Source organism: Homo sapiens, chromosome 6, assembly GCF_000001405.40.
Source record: "Homo sapiens chromosome 6, GRCh38.p14 Primary Assembly".
NCBI lineage: Eukaryota > Metazoa > Chordata > Mammalia > Primates > Hominidae > Homo > Homo sapiens.
The window spans coordinates 64878271-64896127 of record NC_000006.12 but is presented as its reverse complement, the minus strand read 5'-3'; the positions used below and the strand labels follow the sequence as shown (position 1 = coordinate 64896127).

The 17857-nt window shown below is 31.6% G+C and overlaps 1 protein-coding gene across 2 annotated transcripts in view; it reads left to right on the top strand.

Annotated features, from left to right (window-relative positions):
• EYS (eyes shut homolog) overlaps positions 1-17857 on the top strand; it is a 1987247-nt gene that overhangs the window by 811099 nt on the left and 1158291 nt on the right. For both annotated transcript variants that reach the window (NM_001142800.2, NM_001292009.2), the window contains exon 19: positions 9286-9431. In NM_001142800.2, coding sequence (NP_001136272.1) covers positions 9286-9431 — 146 coding nt within the window. The remainder of the gene's footprint in view (positions 1-9285; positions 9432-17857) is intronic.

Here is a 17857-nt window from a genome sequence, read left to right as displayed (position 1 = left end):
GCTCTTTAATGTTTTTTCTTCTTATGGCTTTGTAAGAATCCTTATATATGATTTTTAAAATATCTTTGTTAGTTGTATTTATTGAATATAAGTTCTGATTGAAATAGACACTTCACCTTTATAAGTTATATGTACTAAAACTTAATTTTAATATACTTGAATTAATTTATTATTTAGTATATGGTTTGCAAGTTTCATCTTATTTAACTTTTCTTTACACTAGGATGAAAGGATTTTTTCCCTATATTTCCTTTTAAAATAATTAAGATTATGTTCTTTATATGTAGATGCATCAGGTATATTGTATGTATAAGTATGAGTATGGGTGTAAAGTATTCTTATCTCATTCTTTGCACACTTAAAAAATAAACTCAGATTCTTATTTTTTTATATAAATAAGCCATGTCTGCTACATATTAAGTTCATCTTTCACTCACTGATCTGTAGTGCCTTCTTGGTTGCAGATCACGTTTCCACATATGGATATGTCTATTTCTCTATTGCTGTTCTGTTGCTTTAGTTCAGTTACTCATCCATGTGCTAGTGTCATACATCTTAATTACTTCCCTTTGAAATATCTCAATACTAGTAGGGCTATTTAATCTTCAGGCAGCTTTAGATATTTTGGCAATTTCTTCTGTTAAAATCAACTTTATTCTATATAAATATACATTCAAACAAGCAATTTTGATTGGAATTTCATTGAATGGGTAGGCCAATTTAAGAAAAATTGATATCTATTTATTTAGGTCTTTCAAAATATCTTTAAAAAGACATTCTGACAAATTCAAGTGGAGCTTCACTAATTAGAACACAAAATAATTAATTTTCTATGTCATAGCTGGACTCAGGTACCAGGAGCTCTGTTTATCTATCTTCATAGAGATCCAACCTTTAGAATTGGTGAAATTTGCATCAGATCCTGTTTAATTTTCCAACAATATTCTATCATTCATCTTATTTTCTGTGCCCTTTCTAGCTTTTGCATTGTCCAATCTGGTGAGGTAAGTAGGGATGTTTGGAATCACCACCCCTGCAACTTTCAGTCCTTTCAAGGGGACACCAATCACTACAAGTACCACAGGAATAGAGAATTGCTGTCACTTTAAAATCTCCATTGGTCTAAAGGGGCATGACAAGATCTTCCAATTGGATTTTCCTCCATAATAGCTCTTACCCCAATGTAAAAATTGTCCTATTACTAAATATATCAACTACACTGTATATTCAAGAATTGTGGGTAAAAAAAAACAAAATCAAAGAGAAGATGTATTTGTGGCCTCACCTGAACTGACCTCAATAATCTTATATTTCTACTGGTGGATCAGTAGCATTGCAGAGATAAGTATACTTTCAGAACCAGTATTCAGCAACTCCTAAAATGTCTGAATATCTTTCTTTCACCATAGAACAGTCATACTGGTAAATAGCCTCAGATACCTCTGAGGAAGTCTTCAAAAAGATACACAAAATACCTGTGACTCTATTAAAGATTCCTCTTAAGGAGGCAAAACCTGACCTTCGAGTGACTGAGTCTGTGACATAACTTAGGTTTTGGAATTGTGAAAGAGGCAGAGAATCCCTACAAAGCCAAACTGAATTATGTCTCTGTCCTCCAGAACTATACATTTCATTCTATATACATGAGGCAGCACCGTAAGTAGACTGTTTATATATTTCATTTCTAAAACCCCGTCATCAGTTAGCCTCTGCCATAGATATCTGTGAATCAGTCCACTGATGTCCACTCTGTTTCTCTGATTTATATGTTTATTTGCTCATTTTGCATCTAATTGTCAAGCATATCCAATAGTCTATGCATTCTTAGATCTATTGTAATTAACATCACGAAACCCAATTCCATGGCAACATCCAGCACTGTCAGCAAGGATATATGAACAAGGTGATGCCTTTCCAATATCTTTATATTGGTAAACATTAGAAAACAAAACAAATGCAATGCAACTTAATCATAAGCATCTATACATTACTTACTGTGAATAAATTATATAAAAGTATATCACTTAAATATTTATTAAAATGTATGATTGACTGAAAAAATAAGTCTCAGAATAATGTGATATGTAACTCATATTTAGTGAAGTATTAAAACATATTTTGAAAAATACATAGCATCTTAAGAGTAGTAATTTTCTCCTGGTAGAGAGGAATGGAGGATAATTAATTGAATGCATGCATAGGAGTTTCATACATATATATGTGTATGAAATGTGTGTACATATATGTGTAAATATGTGTACATATATGTGTATGAAATGTGTGTACATATATGTGTGTGCATACATATTTATGACATCTCATATATATATATGACAGATCAAATATGTTTTGTGTGTTTTCCTTAAAAATATTTCAGCAACATGAAACAATACTAAGATGAGTTAAATATGGGTGATGGGCATACAGGTGTTGATTATTCTATTCTTAGAAAATTACCTGGTGTAAATTATTATAATAAAAGCCATTTTCAATGAATTAAAATCTTTCACAGATTAAAAATCAATTAGCAGCTGAAAATGAAGTAGTCACATTTGATTGTCTTATCTCTTCTTAAAGTAATTTTTATTTTTTTGAAAAACTTAACCTATTGATAAAGTACTCACTAAAAATATTTCAAGTAATCTACCAACTCATTTAAAAGCAATAATTTTATAGTTACTTCAAAGTAAATTAAACTGTAGACACATAAACAAAAAACGTATTAAAAACAGTAGTTACTACATACATGCCTCATGGTTAGATTCATGTTTTTAATCTATTCTATTCTCTCTTATGGTTATTGAAACTGTGGCCTGCAACAATTAAGACTTACCTCTAGTAACATGATTTAAAGATGAATTTGCTGAGATATAATGGCACATGAATGACAGCCCCAATTAATATACAAATCCACTGCAAAAGTGAACACTGGAATTTACATTTTTCTGACACTTGATAGCATATGTTATCCCATGCAACTAATGTCTTTTCAAGTCATTGCTACTAGTTCATTTAGGTCACTCACAATAGTATCCATCTACTGAAAATTTACAACTAAATAGAATTTGCAAGAACAATTACAATAACAGTGGCTAGTGCATTTAAAGAAAAAATAGAAGAAAATGTTCCAAGTGCCTGGCTGATGTGATTATCATAGCGAGATCATTACCAACAAGCATATTGTGACCATTCAGTTTGTGATGTTCACGGGTTTAGCAATTCTTCACTGTTACAAATTTAAAAGTGATTGGTTAATATGCATTTAACCAAAAGACAAAAATCTGTTTACTCTTCTGTAATTGTTTGCCTAGAAACAGTCATCAATCCGAATGATGTTTATTCTACTAGAGAATTTACGATAACATCACTGTTTCAAATCAGATTCACACCCACATGCAATTATAATAAAAACATATAAAGACATGTTGTGAGTATGATAAATAATGTAGACATATATTTATATATAACATAATAAAGACATGTTGCAAATATAAAATAGATTATTCATATTCTAAGTAAAAATTGTCATTCATTGTAAAGAAGTGTGGTTCATGAATGCAGTTATAATATCACAAGAAAAAAGTAGAAATGCTTTAAAATACATTATAAATTCTTTCAAAATTTGAATTACTTTAACATAGGCTTAAAAGTCCTTATCAGAAAGTTTCACCAGTGGTTTCATTTTCTTATTTTGAATGTAAGCTTTTAAAAAATATCTACTGAAACAAGTATGATTTAATTTTATTGCAAACACATTTTAAAATCAAAACTCTCATTAAAACATTCTGTGTTATGTTTGGATTTTGTAATACTATTCAATCTATTTAATAATTATATTTTAAAATAACTTCAGAAGCATACAAATAATACATCTACTTATTAATTCCTCTCTCATCTGGAATACAAGAAAAAGTATATAAGAATAATGTAAATGAAATGTAATCGTGGCTAATTTGGGGGCTATAAATTCATGTGATTATCTTGTATTTTTCCATCTTTTTATAGTTTGGAGATATCATTTTATGCAAATTATAGTTACTCTTCCTTATCTCTATTTTAATATGTTGAATTTTCTTCAGAAGTCACTGTTAAAATGCATCTTAGTGATTGAAAAAGTATCTTGAACACCTATTTGAAAAATTTTAGGGCAATGTCAAATTAAAAATATGAATTATTTCAATACTTTGACAATATATTTAAGTTTAATTCTAAAACTTTTGAAGTAAAAGCTTTTTATTTAAATGAGAAATTTTTATTTCATCAAAAATACATATTTCATGGTCTTAATTGTTCTCTCAAGATAGAAGATATTATTATATATGTATATTTTAAAAGCTATGAATATTGAGTTTTATCAAAGGAAGGTATACTTTAGGGACCTTTAATATAAAATGCAGTACTGACTGTACATTTGACTGGATCACTTAGGACATTAATAAAAATCAGGTTTACATTTAATTTTTCTCTAGCCTTATTAGAGGTGGTTAGCATAAAGGGACCCTCAGCAGGTAATAGCGAAAGGAAAATACCAAAGCTGAAAGAATTGCACACTATAGCCAGAGGCCAGGAGGGGAAAAATTTGATGAGGATCTTTTCAGACATACCCTAGGCACTTTTATTTTTTTAACGTTTTGAAGGGCCAACGTTAAGTGCAAAGTAAAAACGTCCCAAGTGCTCAGCATTGTGCTTGCCCTTCCTATTAGACACAGGGAGCGGGAAGAGAGCAGGGCAGGGCAGGTGGAGGGAGGAAAGGAGGAAGAGAAAATAAAAACATTTAAATTTTTCTGGGAAAGCAGAGACAAGGATTAAAGGTAGTTGCTCTGTTGTAGAGTAAAATGTTATTTTCGCACAAATTTGCCCTCATATTGTTTAGTGTGGTGGAAAGTAAGAAATATAAGTTGAATATTTTCTGTAAACTGTTTCACCAGGGCTGCTGTTAATGTCGATGATTTTTTTTTTTTTAATCTCTATGAAATTTTAGATGCCATTCAGAAAATGTCCAAATGGACTCTAGAATCCCAGGGCCTTTTTGCATCATTATTAACAAAGCAGGGACCCCCAACATTCCAGTTGAACAGGCATCTGTGGTTTAACAGATTCTTGAAATTTAATAATGTTTGGAATTTATGTAAAAGTAAAGCATATTTTTGCAATGTTGAAAAGTTCAGATTTCAGGAGTAGTGTAGAAAGTAAGAAAAAATAATGGTCTTGATTGAAAGCAAAAAGGAAAGAGAGGTTATTGAAGTAGAAGCAAAGCATTCTTAGAAGAAAGGATCATTATGATTCATATTATTAAAAACAATTCTTCACATAGTTGTCTGTATGCCAAAAACTTTAGAAAAATAAACTTCCATAAGTCTTGAGATAATACATGTATGTTTATTTACTGTGTGATATCACTTTCAAAATCAGAAGCGTAAGGTACATATTTGAGATTCATAAAATAAGTTACATGATAAATGTTAAAGAGCAAACAAAAAAGCAGAACTTTTTGAGAAGTTCATCTTAAATTAGAGTAAATACATTTGAAGGATGGGCATGGAAGCAAAAAAATGAATATAACATATCGGGGAACCTGCCCTGATATTCACGTAGGTTCTTTTCTATTTTCCTTAAGCGTCAGCTGGCTTGAGAAATAAAGGGACAGCGTACAAAAGAGGGAAATTTTAAAGCTGGGCGTCCAGGGGAGACATCACATGTCTGTAGGTTCCGTGATGCCTCACAAGCCGCAAAAACCAGCAAGTTTTTATTAGGGATTTTCAAAGGGGAGGAAGTGTGCGAATAGGTGTGGGTTACAGACATCAAGTACTTTACAAGGTAATAGAATATCACAAGGCAAATGGAGGCAGGGCGAGATCACAGGACCAGGACGAAATTAAAATTGCTAATGAAGTTTTGGGCACCATTGTCATTGATAACATCTTATCAGGAGACAGGGTTTTGAGAGCAACTGGTCTGACCAAAATTTATCAGGCAGGAATTTCCTCTTCCTAATAAGCCTGGGAGCGCTATGGGAGACTGGGGTCTATTTTACCCCTGCAGTCTCAACCATAAGAGATGGGCACACCTTGGGGGGGGGGGGCATTTATAGGCCTATACCTCCAGGTGCATATTCTCTTTCCCAGGGATGTTCCTTGCTGAGAAAAAGAATTCAGTGATATTTCTCCCAGTTGCTTTTGAAAGAAGAGAAATATGGCTCCGTTCCACCCAGCTCACCGGCGGTCAGAGTTTAAGGTTATCTCTCTTATTCCCTGAACAGTTGCTGTTATCCTGTTCTTTTATTAAGGTGCCCAGATTTCATATTGTTTAAACACACATGCTCTACAATTTGTGCAGTTAATGCAATTATCACAAGGTCCTGAGGCGACATACATCTTCCTCAGCTGACAGGATTAAAAGATTAAAGTAAAGACGGGCATAGGAAATCACAAGGGTATTGACTGGGGAAGTGATAAGTGTCCATGAAATCTTCACAATTTATGTTTAGAGATTGCAGTAAAGACAGGCATAAGAAATTATAAAAGTATTAATTTGGGGAACTAGTAAACGTCCATGAAATCTTCACAATCCACGTTCTTCTGTCATGGCTTCAGTCGGTCCCTCCATTTGGGGTCCCTGACTTCCCGCAACAATAACATTTAGTAAAAACTAACAAAGGGTTCAAAAGGCAAAATTCAGAAGGAAATCATAATTGAAAAAACAAGAATTATGGGTAGGTGTCAGAATCTGAATCCTTTCATGTATCTTCAAGATAACTATACAGACAAAAAAAAATTAATACTCAGCAAAACCCACATCTTCATCATGACAAAAAGACATTTCACAAAAATTTCCCATTAACTTATGCAACAAGTAAGTAAGTATATTTAAGATAATGAAAATCACCGAAAACAAAATTTGGGGAGCAAAAGACAAGGGATGTTATGATTTTCTGATTTTCAAAATGAGAGAGAGAGAAAATTCTATAAATTAAGTAGTAAACTACTGTTTAAAAAAAATTGAAACAATTGGTGGTGATTATCATAAATCACTGAAAAAGCAAGATATCACCAAATAATTTTCTAGTATTCAATATTTCAAAATACAAAGTAGATTTTGAAACTTCTAAAAATATAATAGAACTGTCAGAAGTACATGAAAGAAATACATAAATTGAAATGAAAGTCATTGTTTTTATAGTAATATAACATTTTTAAATTTGTCAGTATGAAACAAATCATTTCTTGAGATACCTTTCACTGCTATTTCTGAGAATTCTGTGTCCAATTTCTCTCTATTCTGTGATTCCTTGGGATCATCATTAATTCAGTGAGAACACAAAGTAGCAAAGACAGTATTATTAACAAACATATCTTGATTTTAGTAAGACATTTAGCAGATTCATTACATTACTTCTCACTAGATGGGGAGATATTCGCAAAATGAATACAATGGAGAAAAACAGTTTGACTATTTGAACAAAAATTCAAGAAGTTAGTATTTGGATTAGTGTTACTCCAAAAAGGTGATTATAGTCAATTCCCTAGTCACATGAAGAGCTCTTGGGAAATACTCTACTCTTTCACCCAGTATCCCATTGCACATGACATTTTAATGCCTTCTGTCCAACTGATACAAAGATTCCTTACTCTTTCTTTTTCTATTAATTTTATTTTTCATTTACACATAATTGATATATTTATGTGTTGTTTTGTTGTGTTGTTTTGATACATGAATACATTGTATCATTATACTACATAATACATTGTATTACAGCACATTTGTTCATTCGTTTGTAATGAACGAATAAGGATAATTAGCATAGAGATCACCTCAAACATTCATCATTTCTTTGTGGTGCAAACATTCAAAATTTTCTCCTCTAGCTCTTTTGAATATACAATACCTTACTGTTTACTACAGTCACCGTACTGTGCAATAGGACACCAAATTTATTCTTCCTTTCTACATGTAATTTTGCACCCATCAATCAATCTTTCCTATCCCCTCTCCCCTACTGTCTGGCTTACTTTACTTAAGAGATGAATGAATAAAAAATATGTAGTATACATAAACAATGAAATACTCTTCAGCCATGAAAAAGAATGAAGTCCTGTTATTTGTAACAACATACATGATCCTGGAGGACATTATTGTAAATGAAATATGCCAGGCACAGAAAGAAAAATACTGCATGTTTTCATTCATATTCAGAATTTTAAAACACTGATCCTGCTCCTTCTTTATTAATACTGAGTAAGACCTTTTCTGTCACCTCTTGTCTAGCAGCTAGCCATGCTTTAACAGGACCTGTCTCAATTGACATGTATTTACTGTAATGTTTACATATCTGTATTCCTGTCCTGTTCCTGAGACTTTCAAAAGCAAGCTCTAGTTTAATTTACACTTGAATATGGGTACATGACTAATGTCTGGCGCTCAATTAATTAATGTAGGTTGAAGAAGTAAAAGGAGGAGCATGGGGAATGTTAGACTTCTGTGGTTATAAAATGATGAGTGAAGTTAATTAGGAAGAGTTTCCTAAAAAATCTAAATAGAAATCTAGCTCAAAAACATTTTATGGAAAGTTGCTAAAGCTTCTTTATCTAGACTTCTAAAAGGAAAAACTATGAAGAGATATTTTTGCTAAGTATACAGTTTCGATCAGTTTAATATCTCCTTTGGAAATTATTTCTTTTTTTTTGTTTGTTTATTATTATTATACTTTAAGTTTCAGGGTACATGTGCACAACGTGCAGATTTGTTACATATGTATACATGTGCCATGTTGGTGTGCTGCACCCATCAACTCATCATTTAATATTAGGTATCTCTCCCAATGCTATCCCTCCCCCCTCCCCCCACCCCACAACAGTCCCCGGTGTGTGATGTTCCCCTTCCTGTGTCCATGTGTTCTCATTGTTCACTTCCCACCTATGAGTGAGAACATGCGGTGTTTGGTTTTTTGTCCTTGTGATAGTTTGCTGAGAATGATGGTTTCCAGCTTCATCCATGTCCCTACAAAGGACATGACCTCATCTATATTTTGATACTAGTATTTATCAGGTTACAGTAATTATTTACCCAACACATTGTTTTTCAAAATTTCACACATAAAGAACATTTGAGCAGAACAAAATTTTGCAAGGAGAATTGCTATATTTTTTCAAAGAAAAAAATGAAATACATATATTATTTATTTCAATTAAGTTGAATGTCTTGAATTTAAAATATAAATATGAATCATATATAATAAATGATTATCATTGTTACATGGCTATTCCTCATTTCTCCACTTTTCTCCAGATTTTTTTGTAATTGTGAACCTGAGTACCATGGGCCCTTCTGTGAACTTGATGTAAATAAATGTAAAATCTCACCTTGTCTAGATGAAGAAAATTGTGTCTACAGGACTGATGGATACAACTGCCTCTGTGCCCCTGGTTATACAGGTAAATCCATATCTGTCCCATGTGCAGCAACATATTTCTGTCTGCAAGCAAATAGAAACCTCATATTTATACTCCAAAACCTGAAATAATCTGCCAGATGCAAACAGGGCAAAAATGTCAAGAGATAATTTGTCTCTTATAAAAGAAATTAATAAGAAGTAAAATTATGTGTTTTATCTTCAATTTATTAAATCCTAAGATTAGATTTTAAGTTATCTTACATTTTTATCTTTTACAGTAAATGTATCTTTAGTAAGTTTGCATGGCTATAATATACAAAAAAGTATTTCTGTATGGGTAATCTAACAGAAATAACATTATTATATCTGTTACAAAACTGTCATTTCTAGAATATGCTTAGCATTAAAAATATTTACATAAAAAGACAGCCATTGTGAATTTAAATGTAAAGCAAAAGAAGATTGGCATTAGCTGTCAGTATCAATTATTTCACAGCATAAATTTTATCCAAACATAAAGGCAAAAGTCATCAGGGAGCTTATAGAAGGTAGAGGCATTAGCCCTCTAAATTTCTGGTGAGAAATTGCATTTACAAAATACAAATAGCTATATTGTTTTAGTTTTGGCATACTAGTATTAATGATATGGGACTAACAATAATATAGTTTTTGTGTTATTTTGTTTCATATGTATTTTTTCAGACAATTCCCACAGAGATTACAATAATGTATTTACATCTCAAATCTCAGTTTATTAACATCTGATTTGTGCAGCACTAAAATCATATGGATTTCTATCCTGAGGGATGAGTAGTTAAATACATCTAATATTAGGTTCTCTGCCAGCAGGGATAAAATAATACTAGACACATGGAAATTATATTGGCAAGCAAAAATGGAAAGGAACTAGAAGTATTTCCAGAGAATAAGTAATCAAAAGGTGAGAGAAAGTTACGTGACCTTAAAAAGAAATATGAAGGTGTCTTTCCTGAGAAATCTTGATGGCTTCAGAGGTAATCTTGGTAACAAATCTCATATACACAAAAACTATCAGATTAAGTTAATATTTCCCAAAAAGTATCATTTTCTGCAAAGTTCATTACATATAATATACAAGAAACATTAAATTTCAACTATAAAACAGTTTACTTTCTAAGTTTCACATTGCCCATTATCTTCAAAATTATTGAGCTATCAATGTAGAACCATATATATCCACTCAGCAATGCCATTCACCTTGTTGTTGTTACTGCTGCTAGAAGTATTAAAATAAGAAACAACACACTGAGCTCAACATGACTAAGAAACACATTTTGTAAAATTATTTGTTATAACACCTTGCTCTGATATTTTAAATGTATCAACATTTGAAAGATTAACATGTTCTTTATTTTTCTTTTGATAACCTCTTTAATTTCATTTCAAAATATGGTACTTAGCATTGTTTTAAAATGATATTATCTAAGATGTTACCAGTGGCACATGATTTAAGATGTTTTAATATATGTTTGCATATTGGTACAGCTACAAGTAAAAGAAAACTCAATTAATTGTTATCCTTAATAGATAGGGTTCATTTTTTCTTACATAATAAGAATTCTGTAGGTAGACAGCTAATGGTTGTTGGTCCAGTGACTTGACAGTACCAGGATGGGGTAATGGTTTTCTTAGTTTTTAATTCATGATTATAGGTTCATGCATTCAGAATTGCTACTGCAATGACTTAAGTCATTATTTCTACACTTGAGTCAAAGGAAAAGAGTGGTGCTAACTGTATTGAGTCTTTCTATAAGGAGAACCTTTTTAGAATAACAATCAAAACCTGCTAATATGTCACTGAGCAAAACTGCTCACATGTCCATTTTTAGGTTCAGTGGAAGATAAGAAATTAAAAGTGTACCACTTTCAGAATTTACAGTTGAATATAGAAAAAATATTATGAAATATGTGTTACAGTTTGGTTTCAAACCAAGAAAGATACATGACTGGACATTCAAAAAGAAGTTTTCCCCCTCAAGAAAGTTACATGTATTTGTTTTTCTGTACATACTCTTTTGACATTCAAATTGACCTTCTCTTTCATACATGGACAGATAAAGCTTTTTCTTATTCTCAGACACTTAATAGCATTTATTTTTCTTAGCCTTCTCTGGAAATCTTTTTTTCAAGGCTCCTAAAGCATTACTGTTTTGTGAGATGTTCAAATCTATTCATTTTTAGGTTGTTCCATTTCAAGAGAGTCATGACACTGCAAGGTTTTACTTAAAGAATCTTAAACTTTAAAACACAAGGATGTTATACTTTTGTATATTTTTCAAGATCATACATCTGGTAGTGACAGAGCCGGAACCAAAATACACATCCCTCTCTAATTCCAGTTTTATTTCTACTCTAGCTTTGCTCCATCAGAAAAAAACAAAATTTGAATGTAATGGTATTAGTGATAGAGAGGAAAGTTAAAATAACATTAAATACAATATTAAATGTGTTAAAATTTGGTAACCAAATATATTATTCAGAAAAATTTAGCTTTGCCTACACCTATGAATACATTTAACCAAGTTATTAAGGATATAAATTTTTCAAGACTCTGACCAGGAAAGTTTATGATTCTTAATTATCTAAATCAGAGCATTCTTTGAAGAACACATTAAATAATATGTACACAGGCTATCAGTGATTAACTCGATACTTCTTCATTTTATGATTTGTATTCTATTAGCTGTTGAGGTTTTGTGATGATCAAGGCTGACATGGTTCTTATTCTTATGAAGACTTGTGGTATCTAGAATTGGAAGAAGATAATAAACATTTACAAAGTTGACTATTTAAAGCCATTCTATAATTAATTTATCTAGAGTATTTTTAATTAAACACTATCACAGAGTCCAAATTTACACACGTAGTGGTAGTGAGTTGACTGAATTTAATGAACAGGAAGTACACAAGTGATGGCATATGATCAAAGGCTTGCATTTTATCTTGCAAAAGATATAAATCAGTTTATCAGTAGATTTGCAGTGTTGTCTAACTTTGTCTTTCCTAAAGAATATTGGCTTACGAATTTGAGTTTTAATTATTAGTGATTTAAATATAGGAAAGATGAATATAAATAAATTTATATTGCTTTCTAAAATATTCACTCATTTAGCAAGAAGTCTCCTCTTAACTAGACACGATTATATATTATTAATCTGTAGATAAAAGTTTATGAACTTGTGCTTAAGGACTTTAAATGTGATTACATGTAGTCATGTCTACATTTGTGTTTATATCTATATTAATATTTATATATCTACTAGAAAAGTATAAATATTTTTAAAATGCCTAAGTCCTATCTCAGAAATAATAACTTTGATAATAATGCCATGTAGAAAACATATACAATTCAATAGTTCAGAATAATAAAATATAATTATGTTTGCTTCAAAGCGATGCACATTTTTTCTTGGATATGTTTCATATACACATGCAAACGTATGACTATATTCAGTTATAATATTTTCTGCTTGAGATAACTAAGCTGTCTTCTGAATACATTTTTTGCCAAATGCCCAATCTACATAAGAAGTAAAACAATCTGCCTTGAGTACATGTATAAAGAAGCATAGTTTGGGAAAATATGGACAATTGATCAATTGTACATTTTTGGTTATTGTAAAGATATTATTATTATATTGTTTCTGCTGCCTAAAATACCCCATTTATCCTATTGCAAGTACTGATCCTCATACCATAACTCAGATGCAACTTTCTATAGGAATCTTTTCTTAGACTCTTGGCTTCTGTTATTTTCTTCTATATCACCCATTTTATCCACTGAACTTATAGTTTTGTGAAATTCTGATTTAATTATCAGTTCGTCTGAGGAGACTCCCCAAATCTACTTGCTCACCATTTTATCTCTTCTCTCCATCAAAGTTTAGTCTACTCTGGTACAATATGTCAGCTGAGTTCCTAGTTTAACAAGATATATTAAAATAGAATATAAAGATAATTAATTGAATGGGAAATAAAAGATGTAAAAGCAACTTCAAATTTCTAATTACACATTATGCATCTGTAATAATTTAAACACAAAGGGTTTAGTGTTTATTTTTTGTTTGATTGATAACTATAAGTCTATAGATATAAACATTTAGGAAAATATTTGGTATTTGATTATATTTAGCTTTAGATTAATAGTAATCATTTTTTTTTGTCAACGACAGCAACATTATTAACATAGCATTTACCATTTCCTTTTTCTGTTAATGTAGGCAGGAGCTACATTAAACAGGCAACTGAATTGTGCTCAACCACTTTTCCCTTATGTGACAAGATTTAAAATTCACTTTCACAACTCAAATGTGCAAACATATATGTTATTTGTGTCATAATGAATTCCATATAATGTATGGGTAAAATTTCATCTAACAGAAGAAAATGTCAATGTGCCAAGTCGATGTGTGACTTTTTCAAGACAAAATTCAGTTATATCAGTTTTGGAGTTGAATATCTTTTTTATTCAGAGATCCGTCACTCTTTTGCTCTGTTTAATCTGGACGCAATGGAGAAAGACATTGTCCCTGGTATTTGGGTACTGTGTACTGGTATAGACTCTTGATGTCCATGTTCTCTTCCATGGGCTTTGCTTACTATGTCCAAGCTGTCTCATCCTCATTTGAAATCCAAAACCTCATTATAAAATTGCCTTTATCACTTAGAACTCGCAAATCCATTTCTCTTTTATCAAAAGCTGGATCTTACACATTGAAATTGCACTTTGAAAAATGATGTTTATATCATTGAATTACAAACATTAATAGTACTTTTAATTAACTTATTTTATAGACTGTCCTTGGCTTTTCTTAAAACAATGTTTATTTAAGTAAGCCCTTAAATCAGCTTAAATGGCAAGAGGAACAATTGCAAAGAAGGAATAAAACTTACAGAGTTTACATTGAAGATTTATATTCTAGATTTACTATCCAGATGCAAATTTTAATAGCCAATATCTTATTTTATTGAGTTATAACCATGAATGGACGCAGAATGCAATTGCATTTTCTATTTGCTAATGTCACAAATGTGTACGTGCCTCTTACATCCCAAGCCTTGTTGAAAACTCTCAGTAAAGTCTGGTGAACATAACAGAGAAGGTTCCCTACCCTAAAGGAGCTTATGTTACGGTAAAGAGAGATATTGAACAAAATCCAACTAAATATGTAAAGTAATCGGAGATATTTCCAAAGATATGAAAAAAATGTATAACTGAATATATTCATCCAGATAAGATTACCTTTGCTAACAAAAAAATGCTAAAATATTAAAATACAGTGGCTAAAATAAGAAGTTGAATTTTCCCACAGATGATATTCCAGACATTTAGACTTGGCACAGTGAATCTGTTATACAACATCATTCGGCACTTAGTCTCCTGCCACTACAATCAATAACTTGTTCTCATGTGTATGACTTTCAGTTAACTCTATTTTAGGCTTCTCATATTGAAAGAAATGAGCTTTCTTTTTAATGTCAAAAAAATGATGATAAGGGTACAAAAACCCAGCTCACATACAATTGTTAGGGGGTAGTTTTTGCACCTGGATTAATGCACTAGCATGAGACATGAGGTGAACTTGTTATGCAGTAATCAGGATGGACAAAGTGTCTCAATAGATGTAGTAAATTCTGAATTGATTCAGGCATCAATTCAGGCCAGGTGTGTCAGAGAATGGCAATACTACTTCCTAGAAGGGTTGGAGGATTTAACTCTCAAAGTTCTGACAGAAAGCTATGATCAAAAAAAAAATTTATTCACATTTATTTTATATATTATACACACACATAATATATAAAATAAGGCCAGTATAATATACATACTAGAGCGTGTGTATAGAAATATATGTGTGTGTGTATATATATATATAAAATCTCTTATACATAAGTATGTGTGTAAAATATAAACACAAACCTATAAATAAATATATATAAATATGTATATATAGATATATATGAGATATAATAGCTTAATTGCCTTATATGGTATTAACTTTCCACAGGAAAAATTCTAAAAAGAAATTAAAAACAAATGATTATGGGGACCAGGATGAAGGTAAGGAGTTGGGGAAGTGAATTTAAATGGAACATTAAGGGAAAGCTACGGAAAAAGTTGATTAGGTTTGGGTTCAAGATGCCTATAATATATTGGTACAAACACAGATATACAAATGTGTATAGAGAGGGAGAGGTAGAGAGAGATCAAGAACCAAAATTACACTTAATTACATATAAAGATGAAATAGTTCCTTACTAACTGATATTTACATTTTTATGTAATTGAATAATTAGAAGAAGAGAGTAAAGCAAAAAAGAAGCTTTGATATGTCTATGGGACATTAGAATCTTCATAGCATGTATATACAATTATATAAAAAAGCACCATCATATCATAAATTAAATAGGGGAAGCACCTCAGAATTTTAGCTATAGTTAGCAGTCTTGCAGTCTTGAGGTATTAGGAAAAAATATACAATGTACAAAGACTAATCTGATTTTAAAGGACTTACAAATTCACAGATTCCTCAAAATGCTTTGCTTTTTCCGCCTGTGTGTAATGAGGGCCCTGTGTTTAGCAATGACTATGCTTAACAGTTACAGAATCAGGTAACTAATTCTATAATGACACTAGGAAGAAAGAGGTGTTATACCAGCGACAGCTCTGGAAAAGGTATGATTTGCCTGTATAAAGCAGGAGTGAGGAGGTGGGAGAATAATATAAAACACAGCAGACCTGCTTCCAGAAGCAACTTCTTTCAACACTCTTAATACTTCTGATATTTACCTCTATATTTCTAAATGGCACAATTATACTACCATTTCTTGAACTTTTCTCTTCTGTGTTTCACATATCTAATTGTTTCTATGGATAATTAAAACTTAGCTTATCCCTATCCCCCTAACCAAATATGTTTTCTTACTCTTTCCTCCCCACATAGTTATATCAAAAATGTTATTAGTCAGAAGTCATTGTCAATAATATTGTAAATATATCAATATTCCTCTCTAATTTTATTTTTTGCTCATTTGAGGATTTACTTACATCTTCTTTTCCAGTGCCTCTATTACATTGTTAATATTTAGCTTTCATTTCAGTTCCCCAAAACTGTCTATCTTACCTAATATTTTTAGCGCATTCTGCAATGTTCACAAACAAAATATCTTATATTTTCTCTAAAATAATATTTATGAAGCTTTTTGTATGTTTTTTTCCTGCCTTGCCTCAGTGTTTCAGAATTTCTTTTTTCTGCGTGTATGTGCTATTTTCTTGTTTATGTATCTATTTATTTAGAGATATCCCTTTAATATGAGAAAATCCTTGAATATCGGTTAATGTCTAAGAGAGAACCATCAAAATGCTAACTGAAAAATCTGAATGAATGGGAATGCCTGACTGGTGATTTTGATACTATTTGTGAGTGAGCATCAAAGCCAGCTATTGTATTTTAGAAAGCTGAAATGTCATTATTGGTGGGTCTTTTCCCCTTCATAGGAAATGATAGGTGGAGATAGAGGTGAGGACATACACAGTGAGAAAATAGATTTGACAAGATTTGGTGAGCCAGAACCTAAGGGCCAGTTAGATAGTTCTGTTCAAAAAAGCCAACAAATTGCTAAAAGGGCAACACATAAAATTCAACTTATTTTTTCTACCGTGCTCTAAATTATTTCTTCAAACCCTTAGTGAAATTCTATAATGCAAACAAAAATGCGTGTTAATGGAACTTCAGAGAGTAAAATATCAATGCAGTTTCTAGCACAGGGCAAAATAAACACCAGGAGGATAGAAGTTGCAGCAGGAAAGAAGCACAGAGCAATGACCAAGAGGCTGGCATGACATTAGCTGAAGAGGTGAGTAGGAAAATACAAGTCTTCCAAGAATTGCTCATTAATGCTATTTTCAGGCTGCCAATTTTGACTCTTGTTAAAAAAAAAAATCCTTATTTCCCATGTTCCCAGCCTACATTATAGGACTCATTATTAAAATCACTCTTACTTGTCAGAAAAAAAATGCATGTGCTTAAAGAAACACACACACGCAAACACACACAGAGAAAAATTATGAGTGGGGGGAGGGAGAGAGAGAGAGAGAGAATGAGAATGAATGTTCTTACCTTGATTTCTTGACCACAAATCTCAAGAAAGCCCTTGGTGCTGCCTGACAATCCTGCTTCTTCTGAATCAATTGAATTTCCGAGTATCCTAGCCTACTATTCTAGCTTTATCTTTTTACACCATTATCAATCCTTTCTCTATTGAAGTTTCAATTGTCTTTGTTTCTTATATCCCTGAGAAAATAAAAGCCATCAGAAGAAAGCTTCTTTATCTTCGCACTAACAACTACCAAACTATACGCATCTGCATTCATAGACTACATTTTCTGTTTTTCCACATTCCTGTCTATTGTCAACCCTACTGCCCTAC